This window comes from Homo sapiens, chromosome 7 (assembly GCF_000001405.40).
Source record: "Homo sapiens chromosome 7, GRCh38.p14 Primary Assembly".
In the NCBI taxonomy this organism is placed as follows: Eukaryota; Metazoa; Chordata; class Mammalia; order Primates; family Hominidae; genus Homo; species Homo sapiens.
The window spans coordinates 82,030,449-82,055,167 of record NC_000007.14 but is presented as its reverse complement, the minus strand read 5'-3'; the positions used below and the strand labels follow the sequence as shown (position 1 = coordinate 82,055,167).

Below are 24,719 nucleotides of genomic sequence, written 5' to 3'. Positions count from 1 at the left end.
CTCCTTGCCTATTGATGTTCTGACTTTTGCATAGAAAGCTGCCAAGGTTGTGAATGCAGCGTACTTTATAATTCTGAGATTCTCAAAAGAAAATTCTGAGCCAAATTTCTAGCACATGCTGACCTTCCCAAAATGGGAAATGAGAATCTTTTAATTAGTTGCCACACAGGTTTTCTGGCTTTCTTACTTTGGCCTTAGTTGATAGTTGGCTGACATAAGGCTATCATTTTCTTCAGTGAAATTCAACAACCAGCCAACTCATAGTTTTATGATTACTGTTGTCCCCATGTCTCTCAAATGCTAGGTGCATCCCCATTAATCAGTATTTTATTCTGATCACTGCAGATGAAAATCTTAGCAATTGTGTTGCCATAGCATCTGAGGAGTTTTTTGACTCCAGTGATGACTGTGCCCCCAGGTACAAATAGGGTCTTTGTTGCCGTATGTAATTTAGGAAATGATTCAGTTCTGGAATCCCATTCTGAAGGTCTGCTTACTAAGAACACTGGTTGGTATCTGCTTAGATTGATTTTCCCCAGAATAGTCACTGAGACAAGGATTCAAGCTTAAATGGTTTATTTGGAAAGTAACTCTAGGAAAGACTTAGAGAAATGTGGGAATTAAAACAAGGCAGAGAATTAATAAATGATTCATCTTCAAACAAGTTTCCACTGTGAGTGAGTGCAGCTTATTTCTCTGGGAATAAGTATAGATTTCATGAATTAGAGTTATCCCTTCCAAGGGGAAAAATATGCTGGAGTATATAAAGTTGATGACTATTCCCAAGTAATGTTAATTCTCTGGCATTCCCAGACCACCATGTGCAACAGCAGAGGGTTCCCTGCAATCTCAGGCAGTTAAAAGTTGGGTTGACATGAATGGAAAAATGGATAGGGCATCAATATCATCTAGCTTGATTAGAAACTGAATAATGCTATCAATAAAATGCTTTAAAATGATTTCTGATTAAGCAAGCTTTGAATGAATTTTATACTGTCAACATTTAGTCAGCAACTAACATTTATTTCCTAAAGAACTTAGAATGGGCATTGGGATTCTTAAAGCCTGCCAGTTTTAAAGGCCATTGATTTTCCTAAAAAAAATATGTTGTTAAACGTGTATTTATTTGAAGAAAATTGTTAACTAATTTCTTAAGAAACACAACTGCAGGATATCTTCTTGTGGTTTCTGTGAACCAGGTTAATACAGACTTTACTGATGCACTGACAGCTCTTTGTAAATCCTAAGCTGGGTGTACTCATTTGGTGTGGTTTGAATGTGTGAGCTAAAAGCATATGGGAAAACAGAATATATTACTCGTAGGAAAAACTGGGAATACATTTCACCTGGAAGTATGCACCTCAGTACCTCAAGTTAAAAGTTATTAAAATACCTCCATTAATATGTCATAAACAGGGCAGAAAAGTAATATTGAAACACGCACAATTAATGGAACTTAAAAGATAAATAATCAGGAAGACATTTGAAAGATGAGGTCATAGTGACTTTCCACTCTGCTTCTGGAGATACGTATTACTGGTTTCAGCTCCTGGTATTACTGGTCCCAGCTCCTAGTTCCTCCTTAGGCTTAATTAGTTTTGGTTACTTATTTACTTGTTTATGGCTCTTATTTACTATAAAAATATCATTTTTTTGTCAACTACACTCTGAAGTTTTGTTAACTGTACACTTTTGTTTAATTTTATTATTTCAAAATAATCATTAATACATTTTTATGATTGAAAACTCACTAAATAATTTTAAGTGATTACATTGAGACATAGATTTGCTCCTCAGAAAATCAGTACAAATAAAATCCAAAGTAAACACGTGTTCATTATTTTTGTTATTTGTGCATTAACCTTCTATTTAATCATAATTGATAGGTAATTATTTAATTTTTTTTTTTTTTTTTTGAGACGGAGTCTCGCTCTGTCACCCAGGCTGGAGTGCAGTGGCGCCATCTCGGCTCACTGCAAGCTCCGCCTCCCAGGTTCACGCCATTCTCCTGCCTCAGCCTCCTGAGTAGCTGGGAATACAGGCACCCGCCACCACGCCCGGCTACTTTTTTGTATTTTTAGTAGAGACGGGGTTTCACCCTCTTAGCCAGGATGGTCTCAATCTCTTGACCTTGTGATCCGCCCGCCTCTGCCTCCGAATGTGCTGGGATTACAGGCCATTTAATTTTTTTAAAGCAATGTTCAAGTGGCAGACACTGTTCTAAGTGTTTTTCATAGTAATTTGTTTAGTCTTTACAGCAACCCTGTGAGGTTGATAATACTACTATTCTTAATATTGCGGATAAGAAAACAGTAGAAAAAGTCTTAGCAATTTTTCCAAGAAAAGAGAAAGAACTGGAGTGTAGCCATCTTCATTCATGATTCTAGATTTAACCAAAAAGTTATGAGGCTAAATCTTCAGGAATATTTATTTACTTTCTTTACCGTGTATCTTTTGCTCTTATGAAACTTCATATATTCTTATTTGCATTTATAATCTTTAGTGTCAACCACATTATATATAATCTTTAGTGTCAACCACGTTAAATTCATAATTTTAAAGAAATTTTTCAGTCTTATGAGTTAGTCTGCTTTATTTTGAGTATATACTGTCTGAAATTGATACAGGTAAAGAGAATTGATTCTTATGCAACATTCTGGTAAGAAAAAAGTAAAATTACATTTTTATCTTTAACATATAGGCCCTTCTCATTAAATACAGATTTAACAATTTACTGATATGGAAATTCTCAGGAAAAAAACCTTCAAAATATATTTATAATGTCAAGTTGTATGTGTGCGTGCATGTGTGCATGTGTATTTTATTTTCTCTCTAAAGCTGTTTGAAAGTCCAGGAAAGCAACAATATACCTTTAGCTTTTGTAACTTCAGGAATCCATAGTAATAAGGCACTGAGGAAGGAGGGAGTGGTTCTATAGTTAACTTTGACCGTAATTTTTCCTTAGAGACCTCATGCATTTCTCTTTATCTTCATACCCAAAAGAATGTGGGTCATCCAAAGACTCAGGATGCAATCTATATTAACACTTTCCCAAAGTTGCCCAGAAGCCACCAAACAGAAAAATCAAGTAGCCTCTCATTTTTAGGGTTATTTTTCTAAGTTTCTTTCATTCTTTTTAAAAATAACAGTAATTTTTCATGCTTAAATCATGTATAAGATGTCAGAACTAACGCTGCATCATTTCTGAGTGTTTCTACTATCTCCAGGGTTGTTCTTTGTTGCAGAAAGGAAGCCTGCTGTTAGCAAAGCTGAAATGCAAGCATAATGTAGCTGTTTTCCCACTAATCCAGTTATATGCTTTGATAGGAGTCAGTGGTAGATGATAGGAGCAGCAATTCAATCACAGCGTGTTCTGATTTGCAGGCAGAATTTCAAGTGTTGACACAGGGATTTGAATTTGTTTATGAATGTGAGGGAGTTTGACATTTTAGGAGTAAAATACTGCAAGCCAGTGGAGGATGATGGGAAAATGTATATGGATTGCAGACAATATGCTAAAAGTTAACAACCAAAGGAGATCTTCATGTCTTTTAATAAAACCACACATTTCTTACTAAAGAATTAGATGCACATGTTATGATTATGTTAAGGATCTTTGAGTCAGTTTTCCTCGTGGAAGCTTTTCCAATTCACAGTCATTATAAAATACTGTCTTTGATTTTTTACCAGAAAAAAAAATAATCAAAATATAATTCCTTATATCTTTGCTCTTGCTTGTAGGAAATAACTTTTTAAAAAGTTAGTTGTACCTTTTGTCCAGATTGTAGTCGCTAAGCAGCAGTCCTAGAAGTGACAGTTTATAAATGTAAGTACAAAGTCAAAAGTGAAGAACCATAGCTAAATAGGAGGCTGGAAAGGAAGGTGAGCCCTTTCCCAGCTGGAAGCTTTTCCCTAAATGCAACTGCTATAAAAGCCTGCAGATTTCCTGGGTCCAGACCTCTGTGTGAGACAGGTCTGTGCTTATTATTTGTCTATATAAACAATAATTCTGAATATGGTATTCTAAAGATTGTAAAAGTCTTTGCTTCCCACAGTATGCGGTTCAAGGAGCCAATATATGTTGGTTTATATCAAGTAAAGAGCAACGCGATGGAATGATCCTGCCAACACGTTATCCCTGCATGGACAGTGTTAGTAAGCTCACATCTGGTTTGACTCATTCTTCACAGGCAACCCTGTCTCTTAGATGGACTGGTAGAATTGCATAGGAATAACTGTGCAGCTTTGGAAACTACTAGTTTTATGACCTTACACAAGTAACCTAGGGCTTCTGTCAGTTTCCTTATCTTAAAAATGGACAGGATAATTTAACTTGCTGAAATGTTGTTGAGTACCAAGTGAAATGTCACATGTAAAGTGCTTATATATTGTAATCATGTATTATGATGATGATTATTGTTATTTAGTGTCATCTTCCAACATTTTTCCACCAACTGTTGGGAGACATTTCTTTATGAATCTTTCACATTTAAGTCTAAGCATTAACAGCCAATTTATTCAGATTTATTTGCATTCCAGGATAGTAAAGAGATTTCTCCTTCTCCCGAAGAGATTTTCAATGCAGAGTAATTAAACTATTGTGTCTCTCTGGAGGGGAGGATGAGTGTGGGCCATCAGAAGCCCCTGTATAAGATCAGGGACTTCCTCATCTTGGGACTCCTGGCTGGAAACCCATCTCACTACCTATGCAGGTGACCCCTGGCTGTCCTCCTGTCATCCTGTGGGAATTGAGGTTTGGGCAGCTTGTGCAAACAAAGATGTTACTCTGCTCCTCTGTTGCTATGAGTAATAAACTCTTTGTCTCTGACTCAGAGGGCTTGTATTTTTTCTGCCTTTTATCTATGACACTGTAGGAGGCTTACTTGTTAGCTTACAACTGCTATAAAATCTCAGACATTTCAGTTCCTGACTTGATTGTTTAACACCAACTAATACCAGAGCAGGAGGTTGTTTAAATATGGAGTTGCACTGTGTAGGCAAGTAAGAGATGATTTCAATTGTTCCATTTCCTATGTGCTTTAAATTTCAGATTTCCTTCTAAAATATGCCTAATGTATTCCTAGACAAGGACATGTTTTGTTGGCTTTTTTAGATAAGGAACTTCGCTACTCAGCCTATGAAAATGAGTACAATTGTAAATTGCTGCACAATTTGAACTTAAAAGCAATTTCTATCCCCCAGTGCTAAAAGTTTCTTAGAAAACAGACCCTCTTTTTGCCAGAGCTCAAAGAAAATAAAAGATATTTGCCATGTCAATACAGTTTTGTGACAAATCTAAGAGAATAATTTCTTGTCTTATCAAAAGCCATCCATCTAGAGTTCAGGAAAACTTTATGTTGATCTATTGCTCATTTATGTCAACAAGAAGACTGCAGTTTATTCTCTTGCCATCGAAGTGGGGCCTGTAGCCAAGCAGTCTGAGCCTTGCCTGGGAGCTCTGTTAAGCAATGGGTACAAATGCAGCATCTCAAGCTGCACTCCAGAGCTAAGGAGAACATCTGCATTTGGAAAGTCCCCCGGGTGATTCCTGTGCAGGGGTTTTTATCGCATTACTGTTAACTGTGTGTACAACTGGCGGGCTTTGCGTCATTATAGAAGAGGAAATCAGTATACTAAAGAGGTACCTTTAGCAAGTTCAGCAGATGATTAACTGGGGCTTGTTGTAAATAATCATGTTTTTCACTGACTCAGATTTTAAGAGCTTGGTAATTATAGAATTCTTAATACTATGGATGTTTGAATATTTTTATTTTGTAGACATTTGTTTCTTTGGGGATGGGAGGAGGTCTTAAAACAGGAAGAAATGGAATTAAGAGAATTTGTTAAAAGAAGAAGAATTCTATCTTCTTATGCACTTTTTTTAGGTAAAGATGGGACCTTTATAAAAGTATTTTCATTTAAAAGACATAAAGAAATTATGGACAGTAAGAAAAGATCAAAGAAAAGGACAAATTTAGTTGTTATAATAGCAGGGCAAAGCCGCCAAGGTTATTTAGGATTTTTCTTTTTTTTTTTTTTTTATGAGTTGCCAGAAGATAACTTAATTGCTTTGGAAATATAAAGAGAGTTTATAAGAAGGTGTTGACAAGTACAATAAGTATTTTTTTCCCATTAATTACATGGTACACTAAGTTTTTGGCACTTAGAAATTCGTCGTATATGTAAAAAGGAAACAGCAAAGTAATATTCAGGGTGAGGCAAAGGGAATAATTTTATTCTAAACTGAACTATTGTTTTTAGAATTATAAAAGTTATTGACTTATTTGATGGGGCTTGAAGGACTAGGAAAAGATGTCATGTATGTGAGTACTTATTAGATGAAATTTTTTAAATTATAGTTTCATTTAATTTTGAGTGTAGGTAAAGAGAGTGACTTGGGCTGGCCTGAGCAATAGATGTAGGAGAATTGTTCAGAGTTCTTTAAATTAAATTAAACTATCATATTTGTTCTTAATTATTTAGTAGGCTTAAAATTCAAAAGAAATTCAAATGTAAATTGACACTATGAGAACTTATTTGTAAAATGCATACACTGCAATCTTAATTGTTGAATAAAAATCTATTTCATCAAATTCCTAGAGGAATAAAAAAAGCATTTTGAGAATTTCGATGTATATATTATAGCTTGAAAACTAATATGCTAAGACATGAAAATATTTTTACCTTATGTTAATGTATAAGAGATTTTTCATAAAGTGACAATTTGTATAAGTTCTAAACTTCAAATAAAAATATTGGCAATTTTTTCTACAACTAATTCACCTTTGTAATGTTTTGTTCAGTAATCCATGTTTATTGCACACTTTAAAATATATTTTAAAATGTTATGAAATCTCTCCTGCTATGTAGTTTGATAGGTATCTTCTTTACCTATCTTTTTGTCATTAATTTATATCATAATCATGCTCTAAGTTTTCCAGATGTATATAATTTGTCTCAGTGGAACTGAGTTAAATTGAATATAATTCCTTCAACCCTAGTTGATAACTGTCATCAGCTGTTTCTGCATCCCAGATACAATTTAATGTTTATAAGAATTCATTGGTGATGTGAATAAACTTTCTTAAAAGGCGGATGTATCCTTTCTGTCTAGTGAATGTCTTGTAGATGTGTACAGATGAGAAATTACTTCTGCTTACCATTACATGAATCTGGATGCTTCCAGGCCTAGATAGCTGCCTGATCATCCCCCAGATCTTCCCCCAGCTCAGGTCTTTGCTCAAATACTGCGTGATAGAGAGGCCTTCCCTGACTACTGTCTCTCAGACAGCATTCCGATTTTAGTTATTCAACCACTTCGTTTATTTAATATTTCACGTCACTTCATTTTTTCTATCATTTCTCTTCACCTGATATTTTACATATGTTTGTTATTTTCTATATCTCTGTATTCCCTCCTCTCCAAGAATGTACGCTTCTTTGAGTATAGAGAGAGTCTTTTTTGTACTAATGTTACTGTACATAGAGTAGTTCAAGGCACGTAGTGGTGGTTCTTGAATTGACTCTACCTTTTGTCAATCAGAACAGTGCTGAACAAAAAATGTACTAGATGGATGTCAGAATTTTATAAACAGTTTCAATCAGTGATAAGTTAACTTTGTGTTCTTATGTGGCCAGTCATCCTCACTCATATGATCAGTATTGTAGTATCTCTGCTCTACAAACACATTAGTTATGTATGCCATTCTTATTGTGTTCTTCAAGCAAACTGAGCCATCTGTTTTAGTTTATTTTTCAACTAGGGAATTTTCCAAGTACTCAGCTTCAGGTATCATGAAAATATTGTACATATTGGTCATGTCTGCTTCACAGTGTTGGTAAAGGGGACCAGATCAGACAGTATGTGATTGTTTCATCATTTCATTAAGGTTTTGTCTTCAGGAGCTGGCATTCAAATTTCTAGAGGGCTATGCAAAAAACATTTGTAATGGAAATAATACTGATAAGGTTATTGTACCTGGAGAATGATGGAGTGGGAAAGAAAGCTGCCCATTTTTCCAGTTGGAAAAGTGCTGTGGACTCAGGAGTGCACAGTGGTTGGTTAAGAGATGGTTGAGAAGACAGAAATGTCAGGTGGAGATGCAGGGGGATCCTAAATTCAGTTTACATTTCAAGTAAAAGAACAGCATACTTTCAATGGCTTCAAATGTTTTTAAATGAATATGATTAGAGAATTATAAAATTTTCTCTATCAAAATATAAAAAGAATATATTAAAAATGGTAATTGGGACTTATTCAGAAATCCATCCAAGATTTCAACAAGGTAAACAGACTAAATATAGGTTACATCATGATTTGAGTTGTTTGAAATATTTGTTTAAAAATGAAAATATTTATTGAAATGTTTGATGAATGATGATTTACATTTATAGGCAAACACAATTCGTGTCTTTATAATTATAGGGAATTGTATTCCATTTTATCTACTGGTGCCATTTTTTAGACATATACAGAATTTATTCCATATTTACATTTTTGTCCTGATTGTTAAACTAGCTGATGTAAATTATATAATTTTAGAATTTGAAGGGCTTTCCACCTAATCTAGAAAAACCCTTTATTTCAGAAAGGAGCAATCTGCAGCTTAGGGGAGATAATTGAATCAGTTTTGGCTGTAATGCTTATTAGAGGCAAGGCCTGGACTAGACTTGGTTTTCCTAAATTGATTAAAGAAGAGATAATTCATTCTCAATATGTTTCTTTTTTTATACAATGGACCAAGGAAACCGCAAACCAGCAGCCACTGTTGGGAACAGCACCGTCAACTTGAAGAGTGGAGTGGCCAACTCCATGAGTGTCATTAGTGAAGATATTTATGTCTCTGACTGTGAGAGGGTGACCATACCTTCTAGTTTTCCCTGGACAGGGATTAACGACAGAAATTAAAATCACATTCACAACATTAGCAAAAGTCATGAATTAACTAGCAGTACTTTTAGTAATATATTTAGGACCTATATTAAAGATAGAGAAAAGAGTGTGAGAGATATATTTAAAAGATTTGATATTTGGAATTAATGAATAATTTTTCCTGGAATGAAAAGGATACCCATGTGAAGATAGCAGTTTTTCTAATTTACTCATGAGAGCAATTTTAATTTGACAAAAATTTCTAAAGTTACTGCAGTAGGAAGACAGTTGTGAAGAATATCACATGACGGGATGTGGTAGCTTTCTCCTCTGTTATTAAACTGTAATTGAAAATGATTAAAGACCTTAGAGAAAAGTGCGTCAGGGAATTTGCGCTTGGGGTTGAGCTCTGAATCTTGGTTGCTGTTTGACTCTGAACACTTTAACATCGTACACCTCATTTCCTCAACTATATAATGGGAAGCCTATTAAAACTAAAACTGTAGCTTGTTGAAAGTTAAACAACTTAATGGATATCAAGTGTTTAGCCTGGCACGCAGGTGATTCTCAATACATGTTAGCTAATACTTTTTAAAATTATTCATATTAAAAAGCAAGCTCATGAAATAACGGAGGGACAAAGGACTAAAAAATTACAGAAATGTATTCAAAATCTTAATTTGTTGTAAGGAATGTATCATGAATGAATGTATCATAAATGGGAAATTTCGCTATTTGTAAAAACAAATTGCCTAATTTTGTTATCACCTCATAGTGTTGGGGAAACTAAATTCCACCATGACTATATACCAAAACCCATGAAACATCAGTAAGGTTACAGATGAATAATTTCCTGACTGATAGACGGTTGATTTTCTAAGTACAAAACTCTTTTAAGAAATAGTAAAGGAATAGGCTCATAGGTTTAGATTAAATAGTAAGCAACAATCTGGAAAAACAGAACTACACAAAAATTAATATATGAGAAGGGTCATTTTGCTAGCAATCAAATTCAAATAGTTAAAATATTGAAATATTTTTATTTACAGTTCAGCAAATAAAAAATGGGAAGTGTTTATGAGGCTGCAGTGAAACTAGCACATATATACTTTAAATTGGCACAAAATTTTTGGAAAGTAATTTGGTAACAGATAACCTAGAAAGCATTTTTTTCTATTAATCTGGGCTTTTCTATTCATTTATTGACTTCTGAAATTCAAAGACATACTAAACATACAAAAATGCAGCTAAGTCACAGTAGCAAATGAACCAAAGTCCTGACTGCAGTTATAACATTTCACCCAGACATTGAATTCTAAACAGCCACTTTATAAATCTTATTTCTTATCAGTTTTCCAGAAATAACTCTTAACTGGGAATGTATCCACATATGTAAGAATAAATGTTATCAGCTATTTTATCCGGATTTTAGAATAATCATTTTCATATAATCTCTTATAGTCCAAATCTACTATGAAAAATATGAAAATCAAAATAAATTTTGAAAGTTTTTTAAAAATAGGAATAAGTACATAAAACAAGCACAGCCAAAATTTTGGAGCGCACAGCCTCTGGTCATTTTCCTTTTATTTTCCTGCATTGCCATCTGGTGGCCAAAATGTGGATAGTGTCTGATACCATAATTTGTGTTTGTACTTACTAATATGCAAAATTTTATTGTTTCTTATTTAAATTATTTAATCTTACAAAATATAAATTTGTTGTGTATGTTATCCATCATAGTTAACTTGTGTAAATAAGTGTACTAATATTATTTTAATTTAAAAAATCCTTTTCCAAAGCAGTCAGGTCTGGATTTGAATTATTATTTTTGCTGATGATTACATGGCTTGAGCCAACAATTTTGCACCATTATTTATTTTACATGCCAGAAATAGAGAAAATAAAACATTAAGACATGTTAAGTAATAAATATTGAACAATTTTTTCAGAAACTATAGTTGTGTCCTATTTTTGCTTCTTAAAAATGCTTTAGGACTAAACAATGTACAAAGTACCCTAAAGAAAGCCTGCCTTTAAACATTTAGAATCCATACATAGGAGAACGGTCTTTCTGAGGGGAAGGGATGCGAATTAATAGACATGTTGAGAGCTGGATACAGTGGCTCATGCCTGTAATTCCAGCTGCTTGGGAGGCCAAGGTGGGAGGATCACTTGAGGCCAGGAATTCGAAACCAGTCTGGGCAAAATAGTAAGACCCTTTCTCATTTTTAAAACTAAAAATAATTTTAAAAAGACAGGTTGAGTGGGCAAATAATAAATGAGCTACTTCTCTTTCACTGAAGTTTCAAGTAGAATATGTGACCTTAAGAATGTCTTTTGTCATTAATTCTTAATGTTTCCAGTGCAGAACTACTTGACTGCACTAAACCATTCAAAGGAAGACTTGGTACTCCAAGAAGATGTGTTCTAGTTGCCATTTCCAGACAAAGGGCACTTCCCGTAACTTTCTGCTTCTTTGACTTGTAGCGTGTATTAAGGCAACAGGAATATTTCATTGTTTGTATCCTGACATAATGTGATGACAAGCAGAGTCCCTCTTCTCAGAAATATTTTATGGAATGATTTCATATTCAGCAGGGGAAATTAGAGCAAAAATAGAGACTGCCTTTACAAAACCAAAAGCTTGGGTTATTTCATTTGAGATACTGATACTTTGTTTTGACTGGAAAGCATCTTTCAATTTGTGTACCTGACTGGGATATTTAATAAGAAGTTTCTTTGGAAGTATTGAAATGCATTGATCATAGTTTTATCAGAAACTGTTTCAAACACCAAACTAATGTTTGAGGGACACTTGTATCATCCTGTTAGTGAACTTTATTTCAAGCTCAATACAGCTGAGGCAGTTTATCTGAATCTTATGAATTAGGAATCTGTTCTAATTTTAGTACTGAGTATCCTAATCCTTTTTACTAAAATAATTTTTAAAACAATAGAGTTGCCATTTAACATCTACTGTATGTCAGACTCTATGTTAGATGTTCTGTATATCTTTATTTGAGTATTTTAATGTCTATTTGGACAGAGTATTTGTACTTTTGAATGTACAAGTTTAACAACATATTGCAGAGCTAAGATGCAATTCATCTACTTATAAATCTATAGCTTGATTATTGATTAACATTTTACACTGACTTCTAATTTCCATAGTTTGATTATTGATCAACATTTTATACTGGCTTCTAATTTTCTTAAAGTCCACATCCAAAGAGTTTAAACATTTATCCATTATTCATTTATTCAGTAAATATTTATAGCATGTTTATTACATGCCAAGTACAGAAAATGCAGTGGTGGTGTGGACATATTCTCTGGCCATGTGGGCTAATAATCCAATAGAGGGGTCTATTTATTAAGCTAGGATACAGAGAAATATGAAATTATAACTGGTGCTCTGTAAAAAAGAGATAGATTTAAGAGAGCTTAGTATTGGGTGACTTAATCTAGTCAGGGAAGGTCATGAAAACTTTCATGAGGACTGAGTGAAGAAGGGAGAAAAAGTATTGTAGGCAGAGGAACAGTACATATAGTGGGAAAAAGTGTTTTTGGCAGAAGGAACAAGAGATGTGGAAGGGCAAAGGAAAGAATGCCCCAATGCTGGAGTAGAAATACAAACCCTCCAGGATTTTTACCCCAGATGCCCATGTTAACACACGTGCCTTCCTATCTAAACAGGCTAACAGAAATTGTCCTCAGCAGTTCTAATGAGTGACCTACTTAGTTGAATTTTCTGGGATTGGAAAAGGAATCAATGTGATGTTAGTTTGGATTTCTGACTCTGTCATGTTAAATACACACTTTTACAAGAAGTATTTTCTTAATTGATGAAAAAATCAGAGCTCCTTCAATCTCTTTTCACTCGCCATATACCATTTCAAAGTTCTGTAATATATTTGCTATTACACTTTTGCTCTAAGGTTTTTAATATGTGGTTTTAAATTAGTATGTAGGCACGTGTTATCAAAGACTGCCACTTCAGCCCATGAAAATTAACCTATTTTTAAAACATACATAATACGATATAAGCTGATGAGTCTAAGATATCTGTGAAATATAGTCTTATCTGATTGTAAACTTTCAAATTTCTCATCACTTTCCTAGGAGAGTAAGATTTGCTATAGGGAGTTATACTTTGTAAGTTATTCCTTTCTGTACATTATTTGTGAGTTTTACTATGAGTGCAATTATAGTAATTCTGTTATACACTACTGAATATATATTTAATGAATGAATTTACATTTAATCAGTTTGTGTTAAAGTCACTTAATGAGATGCTTCACTTTTCTGTGTTAAAAGCAGGTCAAGGCCAACTGAAAGACTCTGAGCAATACATTATTCAGTGCTCAATTTCTGCATAACTTGTACCTTTATGGTGATTCATGGTTTAAATAAGTCAGTTAATAATATTTCCTGTAACCATTTCTAATAATTCTCTAAGGTCACTTTACTATTAATGTATTGGCAAACTGTATTTTTACTTACCAATACAGGGAAATGCTAACATTTATTTGTTTTGAAAATGGAACATGTAGAATAAGCTTGCATCCAATAACCAAAGAATAGAAGAGTGATAAAAGAGGCAGTGGGACTGGTCATTTGGACCTGAAGATACTCAGTTTTCAATATTTGAATTTATAGAAAACAGTAAATAAATATACTGGAACTTTATTCTCACACTGGTGATATTCATGAAAGTCTTGTTCAAAATAAACATGAAAAAGGACTTACTATCTGTGCAGGACATTTTACCTCTTGTTTTTTCTTTTCTCTAAGCCTTCCTTCTCCTCTCATTATCCTGATCATCTTGCCTCATTGTTAAAGGAGACAAATGCCACAGACAGTAACTATCATCATCCAAATCCACATACCACCTGGCTCGGTCAGCTTCCACTCTTCTTTCCTAGAATAATGAAGTTGATGTGCATTTTCCTAAAGGGCCATTCCTCTGTGTGTCACCTGGATCCATCTGTCCCTACCTTTCGACGAGCTTTATTTTTTACCTCTCTTCTATTTCCTGCATCTTTTTCTTCCTTCTCTCTTTAACACCAGTCTTCTTATGCTTGAGTGACCCCTAGCTTTAAAATAGACTTTTCTTGACCCCCAGTCTACCCTACAGATGCCACCCTGTTTTCCAGCTCTGCATCCAGCCAAGGCACTTTGCAGATTTGCCTGCATTCAGATGCTCCTGCTGTCCATTCGTTCTGCCCTCCCCACCCCCCCAACCCAAGGCTGCCTACATAATGTGGATGAGTTCACCAGGCATTTTTTTGTTTGTTTTGTTTTGTTGTGTTTTTCTGAGATGGAGTTTCGCTCTTGTTGCCCAGGCTGGAGTGCAATGGCGTGATCTTGGCTCACTGCAACCTCCGCCTCCCTGGTTCAAGTGATTCTCCTGCCTCAGCCTCATGAGTAGCTGGCATTACAAGCATGCACCACCACACCTGGCTAATTTTGTATTTTTTAGTAGAGACGGGGTTTCTCCATGTTGGTCAGGCTGGTCTCAAACTCCCGACCTCAGGTGATCCACCCGTCTTGGCCTCCCAAAATGCTGGGATTACTGGTCTGAACCACTGTGCCCGGCCCTACTGGGCAGTTTTAAGTCCCCATCTTCCCTGTCTCCACACAGTGTCTTCCTTTTGACACATTTTTCTCTCATCCAAAACAGTCCAATCTCCTGATTTCTCTCCTGTTTCCATGGAAACTTGCTCTTACTTAGTTTTCTCAGGGACTGCTATTCTACTCTACTTTTTTTTGTTTTGTTTTCCTATGGCTTTAAACCATTTTTTTTTCCTGAAGCCTTCTGTTTTTTTTTTTTTTTTTTTGAATAAATTATTTAGCCAAGACTTCTTTTGAGCCTCATGCTTTAAATGTTATCATTTCTTGACATGTACACTTGCATATCTCACATGTATTGAAACCTCACCCTAAATTGAACTCTGTGCTTCTCTTCTCTATTCCTCAATTATCCCTGAACCAGTCATCCCTCCAGTCCTCTATCCTTCCAGATGCCCATGTCAGAAACCTGGCAGTTATTGAAGATACCGCTCTGTTATGCATCCTCCTGCTAAATCCACCACCAAGTCCTATTTGATTCTTTCTCAGAAATACCTCCTGAATTCTTCCCTTTCTAACCATCTCCACAAATAACAAAACCACTATGTATTTTCAGCTAGGTTACTGCAAAGCCTTCTGATTACTCTCCCTGCTTTATATTGTGCTCATCTCAAGTCCATTTTCCACACAGCAGCTAGGATGCACTCTTAAAATTCCAGATTCAATTATTTTACATTTGGCTTAAGATCTTCCAGTGACTTTCCATTTCACAGAAAATAAAATCATCTTCAGCATTTCCATTAGACTCCACATGATCTAGCCCTTGCCTCCCTCTCTGAACTCATTTTATGTCTTTTGTCCTCCTATGAGACCGAGCTAAACTCACTCTCTTTATGTTTTCTTAAAAAGGCTTCTTTTGTCTCCATGTGAGGGCCTTTGCACATGTTGTTCTGTTTGCTTGGAATGTTCTTCCTTTGTGCTCTTCACTGGAACATTTCTCTGGAATCACAGGAAATGCCTTTTCTTAGGAGAATTTTCTTTCAAATGTTTGCAGTCCAAATTAGAAATGCCTCTCCTGATATTGTCTTCTAGAGCATAATATTATATTGCTTTATAGAATGAATCATAATTTATTATACTATATTGAGAGGCAATGCAGGATGAGTTTTTTTCGTAGATAAAATGGGGATAATGATAATGTTTATCTTGCAGAGCATTTGCAAAGACGAAATGATTTACATTTGTAGAATATGTAGTAAATGCAGCACATAGTAGACACTATATAACTGTTTATATATTTATGGTATTTTTGTGTGTGCAGATAATTATGTCTGAAAGCATAAAACTACTACCTGCCATGATTCTTGGCATATAATAGGCTGCTAGTAAATATTTGCTTAATAAACTGATGAACTGTGCAATGTACCTTATAATTACGTTCAGTGATCTTCAGAGAAAAAAATGATGAATTATATTTGCAAGAATATGTAATAACTTATGACCCACTCATTAAAATAAGTATATGTTTTTGATGTGAAAATATCTTTAACATTTTATCTGGCCAGTCCCTTTTTTCTGGCAAATATGCTTTTTTTTATTATTCCCATTCTGCAGATGTGACAGTTTAGGTGCCAAGAGCCTGAATAACTTTCACAAATTACAGAGTTAATAAATGATTGGATGACTCCACTCATCCTCTTATCCTGGATTTTGTTGCAGCATTCCTATTGTTCTTTCTTTTTGGAAATATCCAGGGAACGATGTGAATATTTTTTATGGGGTTGACGAAGTTACTTTGATGATCGTTCTTAAATTTTCCATTTTGGGCAGTTATCGTTGGAGTTGATGTTTTCTCTCCCACAGCCTCTCTGCTGTTCAGGGCTCCATCACCTTGCCTCCAAGGTTCCCCTGGCACTCTTTAGTAACCTCTAAAGTGATATTTCTAAAAGGCTACCAGTTGTTCTTGATTCAGATTGCTTTCCTCTGTTAGCCTCTGTAGAAAGACAGTACCATCAGATTTCAAAATGACTAAACATTGATTCATGTTATTCAGTGTATTACTTTTCCAACCAGTCTTTCCTAATAAGAGGCAATGAAAATATTTAACATGTCCACACAACCAGGGCAAGCATCCCATATCATTTCTGGATCCTGCATCTATTTCATTGCTTTGGATTATTTTTTCTACATGCTCATTAAATTTGAGAACTAGAAGGGATGTCATATAATTTAATTCTCAAATTTATAAGCAGGGAAAGCAGGCTTCGGGAATATAAGCAGCAGACTCAGCGTTCCAGTATGGGTTGGTAGCTCAGATGAAAATAGCCATTGGTTTCTTAATGCACCTTTGTCACCAGCCTACTCACTTTTCCATTTGAAAGAGTAAGCAATGCAATACCGTTTAGGAGTATCAAACACAAATTCTATGAAAACTATATGGTTGATTTTAATGTTCATTTATATATTTACTTTTTAATCTTTTGCAGTTTAACAGCAATGCTCAGGATGTAAGCTGTTTTCAGCACCTTGTCCAAGCAAATGTAAGAAATAAAAAAGTGTTGAAAGACGCGGTGAATAATATCACAGCCAAAGGAATTACAGATTATAAGAAGGGCTTTAGTTTTGCTTTTGAACAGCTGCTTAATGTAAGTATCATGCTATGTCTTTTGTTGTTGTTGTTGTTCAATTGTAGTATCTGAATTTCAATATTCTGATAGTTACTACTCTCTGGGATTAGATAGTGCTGTTTTTCATTTATTTAAAACACAGATGTGTGCAGGCAGAAGAAACCTTTGAACTATTTTTATCTTTGAATTTAAAATTCAAAAGGCATCTAAAATGTAGATTTTTAAGTTTTTGATATTTTTTATCTATGTTTTAAAAAAATTTATAAGGAAATAATTTAATTTTGAATAAGCACTTGAAACTTAATTGGCCTATATAGAATATCATTACTTTTTCTTATCTCAATCACCACAGTATTTATCTGTAACCTTGCACTTTCAATCATCAAATGGTTACTGAGAACATTTTAGTTTTAAACATCTAGTTTGGGTCTTTAAATTGTTCCTAAAATGTACAGAAAGTTCCAAATGGTAGACATTAAGATGAACAGAAATGCAACTCCCGGAGCAGGAATTCTTTCTGAGTGAGGATTCCCCACAATCACTCATCAGTGTCTAGACTGTCAGATACTGGCGTGCTTATTGCCCCATGTTATAGCATGTGTCTTTTTTTTTTTTGAAATGGAGTTTCACTCTTGTCACCTAGGCTGGAGTGCAGTGGCACGATCTTGGCTCGTTGCAACCTCCGCTTCCTGGGTGCAAGCGATTTTCCTGCCTCAGCCTCCCAAGTAGCTGGGATTACAGGCACCCGCCACCATGCCCAGCTAATTTTTGTATTTTTAGTAGAGACGGGGTTTCACCATGTTGGCCAAGCTGGTGTTGAACTTCTGACCCCAGGTGATCCACCCGCCTTGGCCTCCCAATGTGCTGGGATTACAGGCATGAGCTACCGCTTCCAGCCTTATAGTGTGTGTCTCATACTGTGGACTAGTGTTTTTAAATTGCCTTGCCCTCTATTTCACTTTGAGTTACTTAAAAGCAGGGACCATTGTTCAATTATTTTATTTCTTACTAGGCAATATTATTATCATGTTTGAGAGTAGGAACCTTACTTCTCTGCACCTTGGTTTCCACTTGTATGCATTAGAGGTCACTATGACATGTACCTCAGAGAATTGTGCATAAGATTGTCCACGGAACCTGGCATGTAGCAAACCACACGCAGGTGTAGGTTGCTGGGTGGTATTGGAGTCATGGTCATTATTGCTGTAATTACTAGCCCACATCTGGTAAAAAGTCAGATCATAATGTCTGTTAATATTTGCTGAATCACTGAATGAACTCTTATATTTGATCTTTATGCAAATATGAGTTTGTTGTTCCTGAGTGAATATTCTAAATAGTTTTTGAGATATCCAATTGGGTGATTCATTTATTCATTCAGCCAAAATTTATTGAATGCATCACCATTTCCTGTCATAGTGCTGGTGCTGGAATTATAGAAGTAAACAGGACCAGCTGCTCTGAGTGCTAAATCATCATCCACAGAACAGTGTGCAAGTGCCATTACAGGATATTTAGCGTGTTCCCTGGGACAGCACAGAGGATGGGCCCAGCTCCTCAAAGGAGGTCAGGAAAAGTGTGGCATTTCCGTGAAAATGAGGTTTTGAAGAATGATTAGAACTTAGGTAGGTAGAGGAAGGGAAAATTATTTCAGAAAAAGGAGCATATTTTAGACAAATCACAGAAGTGTGACACAACATAGCACAGTAAAAAATTGCAGATGGCTGGCATAGTTGGGACATGAGCAATATAGGAACTTGATGGAAATGGAAAGGCCATGAGGTATCAGTTAAGGAAGTGTTTAGGGGCAAAGGAAAACTTTATAGTATGGCCTTGGAGTGTTCTAAGTTAAGGAAGGTATTCGTAGAGATGCTGGTGTGGGAATAGAAGTGAGGAGCTATTAAGGAGCATGGCATGGGAACTGATTAAGTGGTGTGGGCTGGGTTGCAGAGTGAGAGGGGCTTAGGTGACTCTACATTCTCTGAACTGAACTAGTAAGTAGATGATTGCACAGGAACACACATAGAGGAAATGTGGGGGTAGAAATAGCTCAGTTTCAGATATGTTGAATTTGAGGTCATGTTATTTAATAGACACCGTTAGATTAAGAAGACAGAAAATCAGAGATGTGCAGCCCTGCTATTTCCAAGGGAAATAATGTGTGGTGAGATGCATATGTTTGTTAAATGTTGTATGTTCATTAATAAAAATTAAAAGCTCAAAACTACAAAATTGTACTGTAATTAACCGTTAGATTAAGATGTATCCTTCCTCTAGTAAAGGAATATGGTTGTTTTTGATAAAAATTATTTTTTGCTTAAGTCAATAATTGAGTTTCCTTGATCTTGGCATTTTAATTATTCTTCTTAGTATTTTTTTTCCCCTCACTTCATTGCCTCCTGTTTAGGTTTCAGTTGTGAAATGATCAGGAGTTTCAAGTGTAAAGTACAATTTCAGAGGTAGCCTCACTAGAGAGGCCACATTAACTTCCAGATTTATTACTAGTTGCTGATAAAATATGATTTAACTCCTATTGGCCTCTCCTGCTGCCTTTATAACTGCTACAATTGTAGTGATTTTTAAAATATGGTCCCAGTTGTTCCCTAAGTAAGTCTAATGTGTTTTACTTTCCATACATCCCACATATATATTGAAATTCTTTATGTTAAAATAATTTGAAGCATATTGTGTTTTCTTTCAAACACTTCCAGTCATCTTATTGCTCAAATGCCATTCTGGTTTTTTTTTTGTCCTCGCAGCATTTACCTTTAAGATCACTGAAGCAAGTATTAAATAGCATTAGACATATCAGTCCCAAAGTAAAACTTACATTTAGATTTGAATTAATCTTCAGGTACCATTTCATAAAATATTACCATATATATGCATTTTTCAAAAAAACTTTATATAGAGTGTATATATGATAGATGCTGTGCTATATACTGGCACACAGAAATACAGCAAACTACCATATTAAAGTAAGTTACCAACTCTACTAATTGTAATTTTATTGAAACAATCTTGTTTTTTTGGCTTAATTTGTTCAAAGCCAGTTAATTGTTGTCGCTGTGTGATTCTTTAGATAATTGCAAATGCATGGAAAATTTGCTATTATGTACTTGGCTCCACCACAAGTCCTGAGAGGCTACTCCTAGGAAAAATCATGTTGAAGGCAAAACAATTTCTTTATTTTCCCCATATTCCTTCTTTTGTGTATGCCCTAACATCTCTCTCTCGGGAAATGTTGTTATAATTTTATTTACGTAAGTATACAAATGATCAGCAAGACCTAATGTGTTGATTTACATTGATATTTGCATCCAATAATAGTACTTTCAGTACTTCAAAAACAAAACCATGTCCTATGGTTTTGTTTAACATTTTTACAGGATAGTTCTTTAGGTACATATTATTTTGACTATTTTACACATGCAGATAAAAAAGACAAATCACTAGAGAAACTAATTTTAGTTAAGGGATTTGAGGCATGTTTCACAAAACTATTTTGATGATAAAATAGGCAACTTTTTGTGTAGTCAGATTTTCAGATAGGTTACCTTCAAAGATAACAGCCATGTTGAAAGTGACAAATTATATTAGTTAATACTTGTGCTTTCACAATGTTTGATTAAAAGCTTTTACTGCCAATGTTCTAATGGCTGAGTCCATGGAATGAGATGACCTGAAACAGGATCTTTTCATTAATAAAGAAAAACGTTGTATTTATTAATTTTCACAAGGGAAAATGGGTTTTATCTTCTTTGAAAAAATAAGGTAGAGCATGGACCTTCAATGACTTAGAACACTAAAGAAAAAATAATTTTTAAAAAATATTAGTCATTTAAAAGCCAGGGCTGTGCCATGCTGTACAATATGGTAACAACAATCACAGGTGGCTAGTGAGCACTTGAAAGGTGGCTGATCTGAAATGATATGTTGTGTAAGTATAAAATGCATACTGAAGTTTGAAGACTTATGGAAGAAAAAGCTGTATAACATCTCAATATTGATTGATACCTAATATTGATTAATATTTTGGATGACTGGGTTAAAGAAAATATATTATTAGGATTAATGTCAGATATTTCTTATTACTCCCCTTAAAGTAGTTATTAGAAAATTTAAAGTTCCATATGAGGCTCATGTTATATTTCTTTTGGACAGCACTGAACCTAGGGTTGACATTTTCAAAGAAGCTGAGCATTCATAAATTAGTGTGATCTTTTATTCTCAGCATTTAAAGCAAACACATTTCACAACAGTAGAAAAGTTAAGATAATAATTTTGGACCTCGGAGAAGTCCAGCTTTCTAAATTAATTGTTCATTTTAATGGCCCTTTGGTGCTAATCCATCATTCTCCCATATCTAACTCTTTTGGAGACCTTAAAGTGTAAGAAGATTTACCATGGACTTGAGTCTTTCAGGATTAGAATATGTGTGGTTGGTTGAGAGAGGATAAGAGGACATCCTGGGAATAGGTATCAGCATTTACAAAGGAACAAAAGAGCATTGCATTTTAGGTGACCAGTGTTAGGATTTGTGATTTCAAACATGTGAAGTGAATAAAGTAGAATGAATAAAGAGGGAAGAAAACACTTATTTGAAAGTGGATTGAAGATACACATTTTAAATTAATGTTATTTTTTGTTTATACTATAAAATCATATGTGCATAAAATTGACATTTATTAAAAGCTCATTTTTTTAATAAACTACTGAGATTTTATTATGTGCTAGGCAGTCTTCTATGGAGGGACAAAGAAGTCTTTGAGCAAAAAAGACAAAGCTTCCTTCCCTTATGTAGCTTACATTCTGTTGGGGGATACCAACAATAAACAAACAAGAAAATAAAATATGTATATAAAAGAAAGTAAAATGCTATGAAGAAACATACTATCTTGGAGGGAGACTGCAATTTAAAACATAGTTGTGAGTAATCACCTCATGATAAAGTGGCGTATGATCAAAGACTGAAGGAAGTGAGATAGACTTATGGTTATCTGGGTGGTGAGGGGAAGGCCTGGTGAAGGGGGTGGGCCTGAACTGATCCAGGAACCAGTTCTTAGAATATATTTTGTGAGCAGATATTTCATTAATTACTTGCAACCTGCTCATGCTCGTTCCATATAGCTTTATTTTCTCTTTTATTGTGAATAATACGCATATTGTTTTGTTTGGTTTTGTTTTTAACAGTATAATGTTTCCAGAGCAAACTGCAATAAGATTATTATGCTATTCACGGATGGAGGAGAAGAGAGAGCCCAGGAGATATTTAACAAATACAATAAAGATAAAAAAGTGAGTGTAATTTTATAATATTTAAATTTTAATAATGATCTAGGTGGTTTTTAAAGAGATAGTGGGTAGTGGTAGTGAGGGGAGAATTTTTGATTTAAAACCTGATTGTGCCAATTATAAAGCCATATGAATCATAGATTATAAACTAATAGGTGTATTAGAGAGCTGTTAAGTATAATATTTATATCATATTCACAAGCAACTCATGCCTAATATGTTAATAAAGTATATGTATGGGTCCTATTTTATTCTTATGCATAGATTGTAAATAAAATGTTATTAAAATAGAGAAATCAAAGGAATGGTAAAATAGGAAAAATTTTAAACTTTAAGGTTTATTGGATAAAATTTATTATATTATTTAATTATTAAAGATTGCAGTAATACTCAAATTTCCTAAATACTCAAAAAATGTCTAAGTATTGTTTTGTAAATTTACAAAAAGGCAGTTTACAACAGCAAAAACTACATCCTCATTTGAAAACTGATTCCTTTCAAGAAAAGATGAAGACAAATCCTTTTATAGGTATAATGTATTAAAAGAAAGCATTTCATAAGCAAATGAAGACTGTGAAGATTAGTGTTTGTAGTTGGAATATATTTGAATGTATGTTTTACTATAAGGGAAGAGTATTACAGAGAGGGACCTCATTGAACCTGATACTGTGGAGGAATATCAGCTTCAATCAAAACTCTAACTACTTTTTCTAGCCGTCCTATTATCAGCTTATTTCAATTTTCTGACCAACACTCCACATTTTGTAAGAATACTGTGATTCTCAACCTGGTTTCCTAAAATGCTAATGATTCATTTAAAAAGTAATGAGAAATTATAAACTCTTTCTGGTGTTTCAAAAATTTCTACAAAAATCATACATTTATATATAAGAAGACTCTGCAGGGTAAAATGCCCATTCACTTTGCTTCTGATTGGAATTTTCACCATTTTGAAAGGTGTGGTTATTGCTAGCTCTAATGGATTGTTTTATATGTGCTTGAGGAACACACATGGATTGGGTGTTGAAAAGCGAGACAAAAATGAATATGTTCAGATGGTTTGGTGACAAAATATTGTGAATAATGGCGAACAGTTTGATGAAAATTTTTGGAACCCTTTAAGATACTCTAGGTGCTAAAATTTTCGGCCTATGAGTATTTGAAAATGATCAAAAGACTGAAATAATACACATATAATTTCAAATTAATTAAACTCTGCTTACTGCATGTACTACAGTGTCATACAGTTTAATGTAAGGTTTAAGGGTACATCTTTTGGTTTTTGTTTAGCATCTGGTGATTTTAATAGCATAGAGGAACCACTTTTGAAAAGTTGATAAATGAACTGAGCTGTTAATAGATTGTGAATATTTTCAAGTGATAACTAGATTCTACGAATATTTCTTTCAAAGAAATCATCAGAAATGAATGGGAATATCCAGATGCATTAACTAATATGTGCATATCTTTATTTAATAACTCTTACTCCTTAATCAAAATTCAGGGTAATCCTCACCACCTGGAAGATGTCCCTGAACCTCCTTGCCACTGTAGGCTCCTTTAGATGCTTGGCCTCTGATCCCATAGCACACTGTGCAAAGCCATATACATATCCTTCACTCTGTACTCTACCCATGGCATCTCTCCTCTGTTCCTCTCTGGATTAAAAAAAAAAAATCTACAGTATTGGGACAGTGTCCTGTTTAACTGTGAACTTTAGGCATGCAGCCCAGAGCACAGATCCAGTGATAGTTCCTAATACATCACAACAAATAAATTGAGAATACGTAACAGAGGTTGGAAGCATGAGTGCTGTTACAGGACAGATTTATAATTATAAAATATAACTGGGGGCAAGGAATATGCTGCTTTCACATATTTTAAATAATCTAGCATTTCCTTATTTTGAAGAACTCAAATATAACAAAAGTTTAACACAAAATTCAATTCTATTAATATAAAATGTACTATCTCAAAAATTTACAAATTAATCTTACTCTGATAATTGGAAGGGACTTTTTAGCATCTTATATTTGTCATAATTTTAAGTATACTATTTTGTGATAGAAGTATATAAGTGCAAGCCACTACTTATATCATTTTAATAGGTACTAAGTGTAAATAAATCATTTTTTTCCTTTCATTATGTAATCATCCAAAGCAACCACTAGGAATCTTGTTCACCTCTACATACTTTATTTCAAAAATGAAAAGTTTTTGACTCAAAGATGGCAATGAATTTTACATTCTGTGTTCAAATTTGTGCATGAGATATATCCGATTTTAAAAGAGTATAAAGGTTTTTTCAGGTGGATTTAACTAAAAGTATATAAATAAGAACAAGTTGCTTT

General features: G+C 34.4%; 1 protein-coding gene across 16 annotated transcripts in view; it reads left to right on the top strand.

The window, feature by feature from the left end:
• CACNA2D1 (calcium voltage-gated channel auxiliary subunit alpha2delta 1) overlaps nt 1–24,719 on the top strand; it is a 497,513-nt gene that overhangs the window by 388,789 nt on the left and 84,005 nt on the right. For 15 of the 16 annotated variants that reach the window (XR_001744873.3, XM_005250574.4, XM_005250572.4 and 12 more), the window contains exons 11-12: nt 16,933–17,091; nt 22,267–22,371. Coding sequence is in view for 15 of the 16 variants with exons in the window: in XM_005250574.4 (XP_005250631.1) it covers nt 16,933–17,091; nt 22,267–22,371 (264 nt within the window). In the remaining variant the exon portion in view is untranslated. Of the gene's footprint in view, nt 1–4,539; nt 4,829–16,932; nt 17,092–22,266; nt 22,372–24,719 lie in introns of those variants that run through there. The other variant, NM_001302890.2, reaches the window with a different exon arrangement.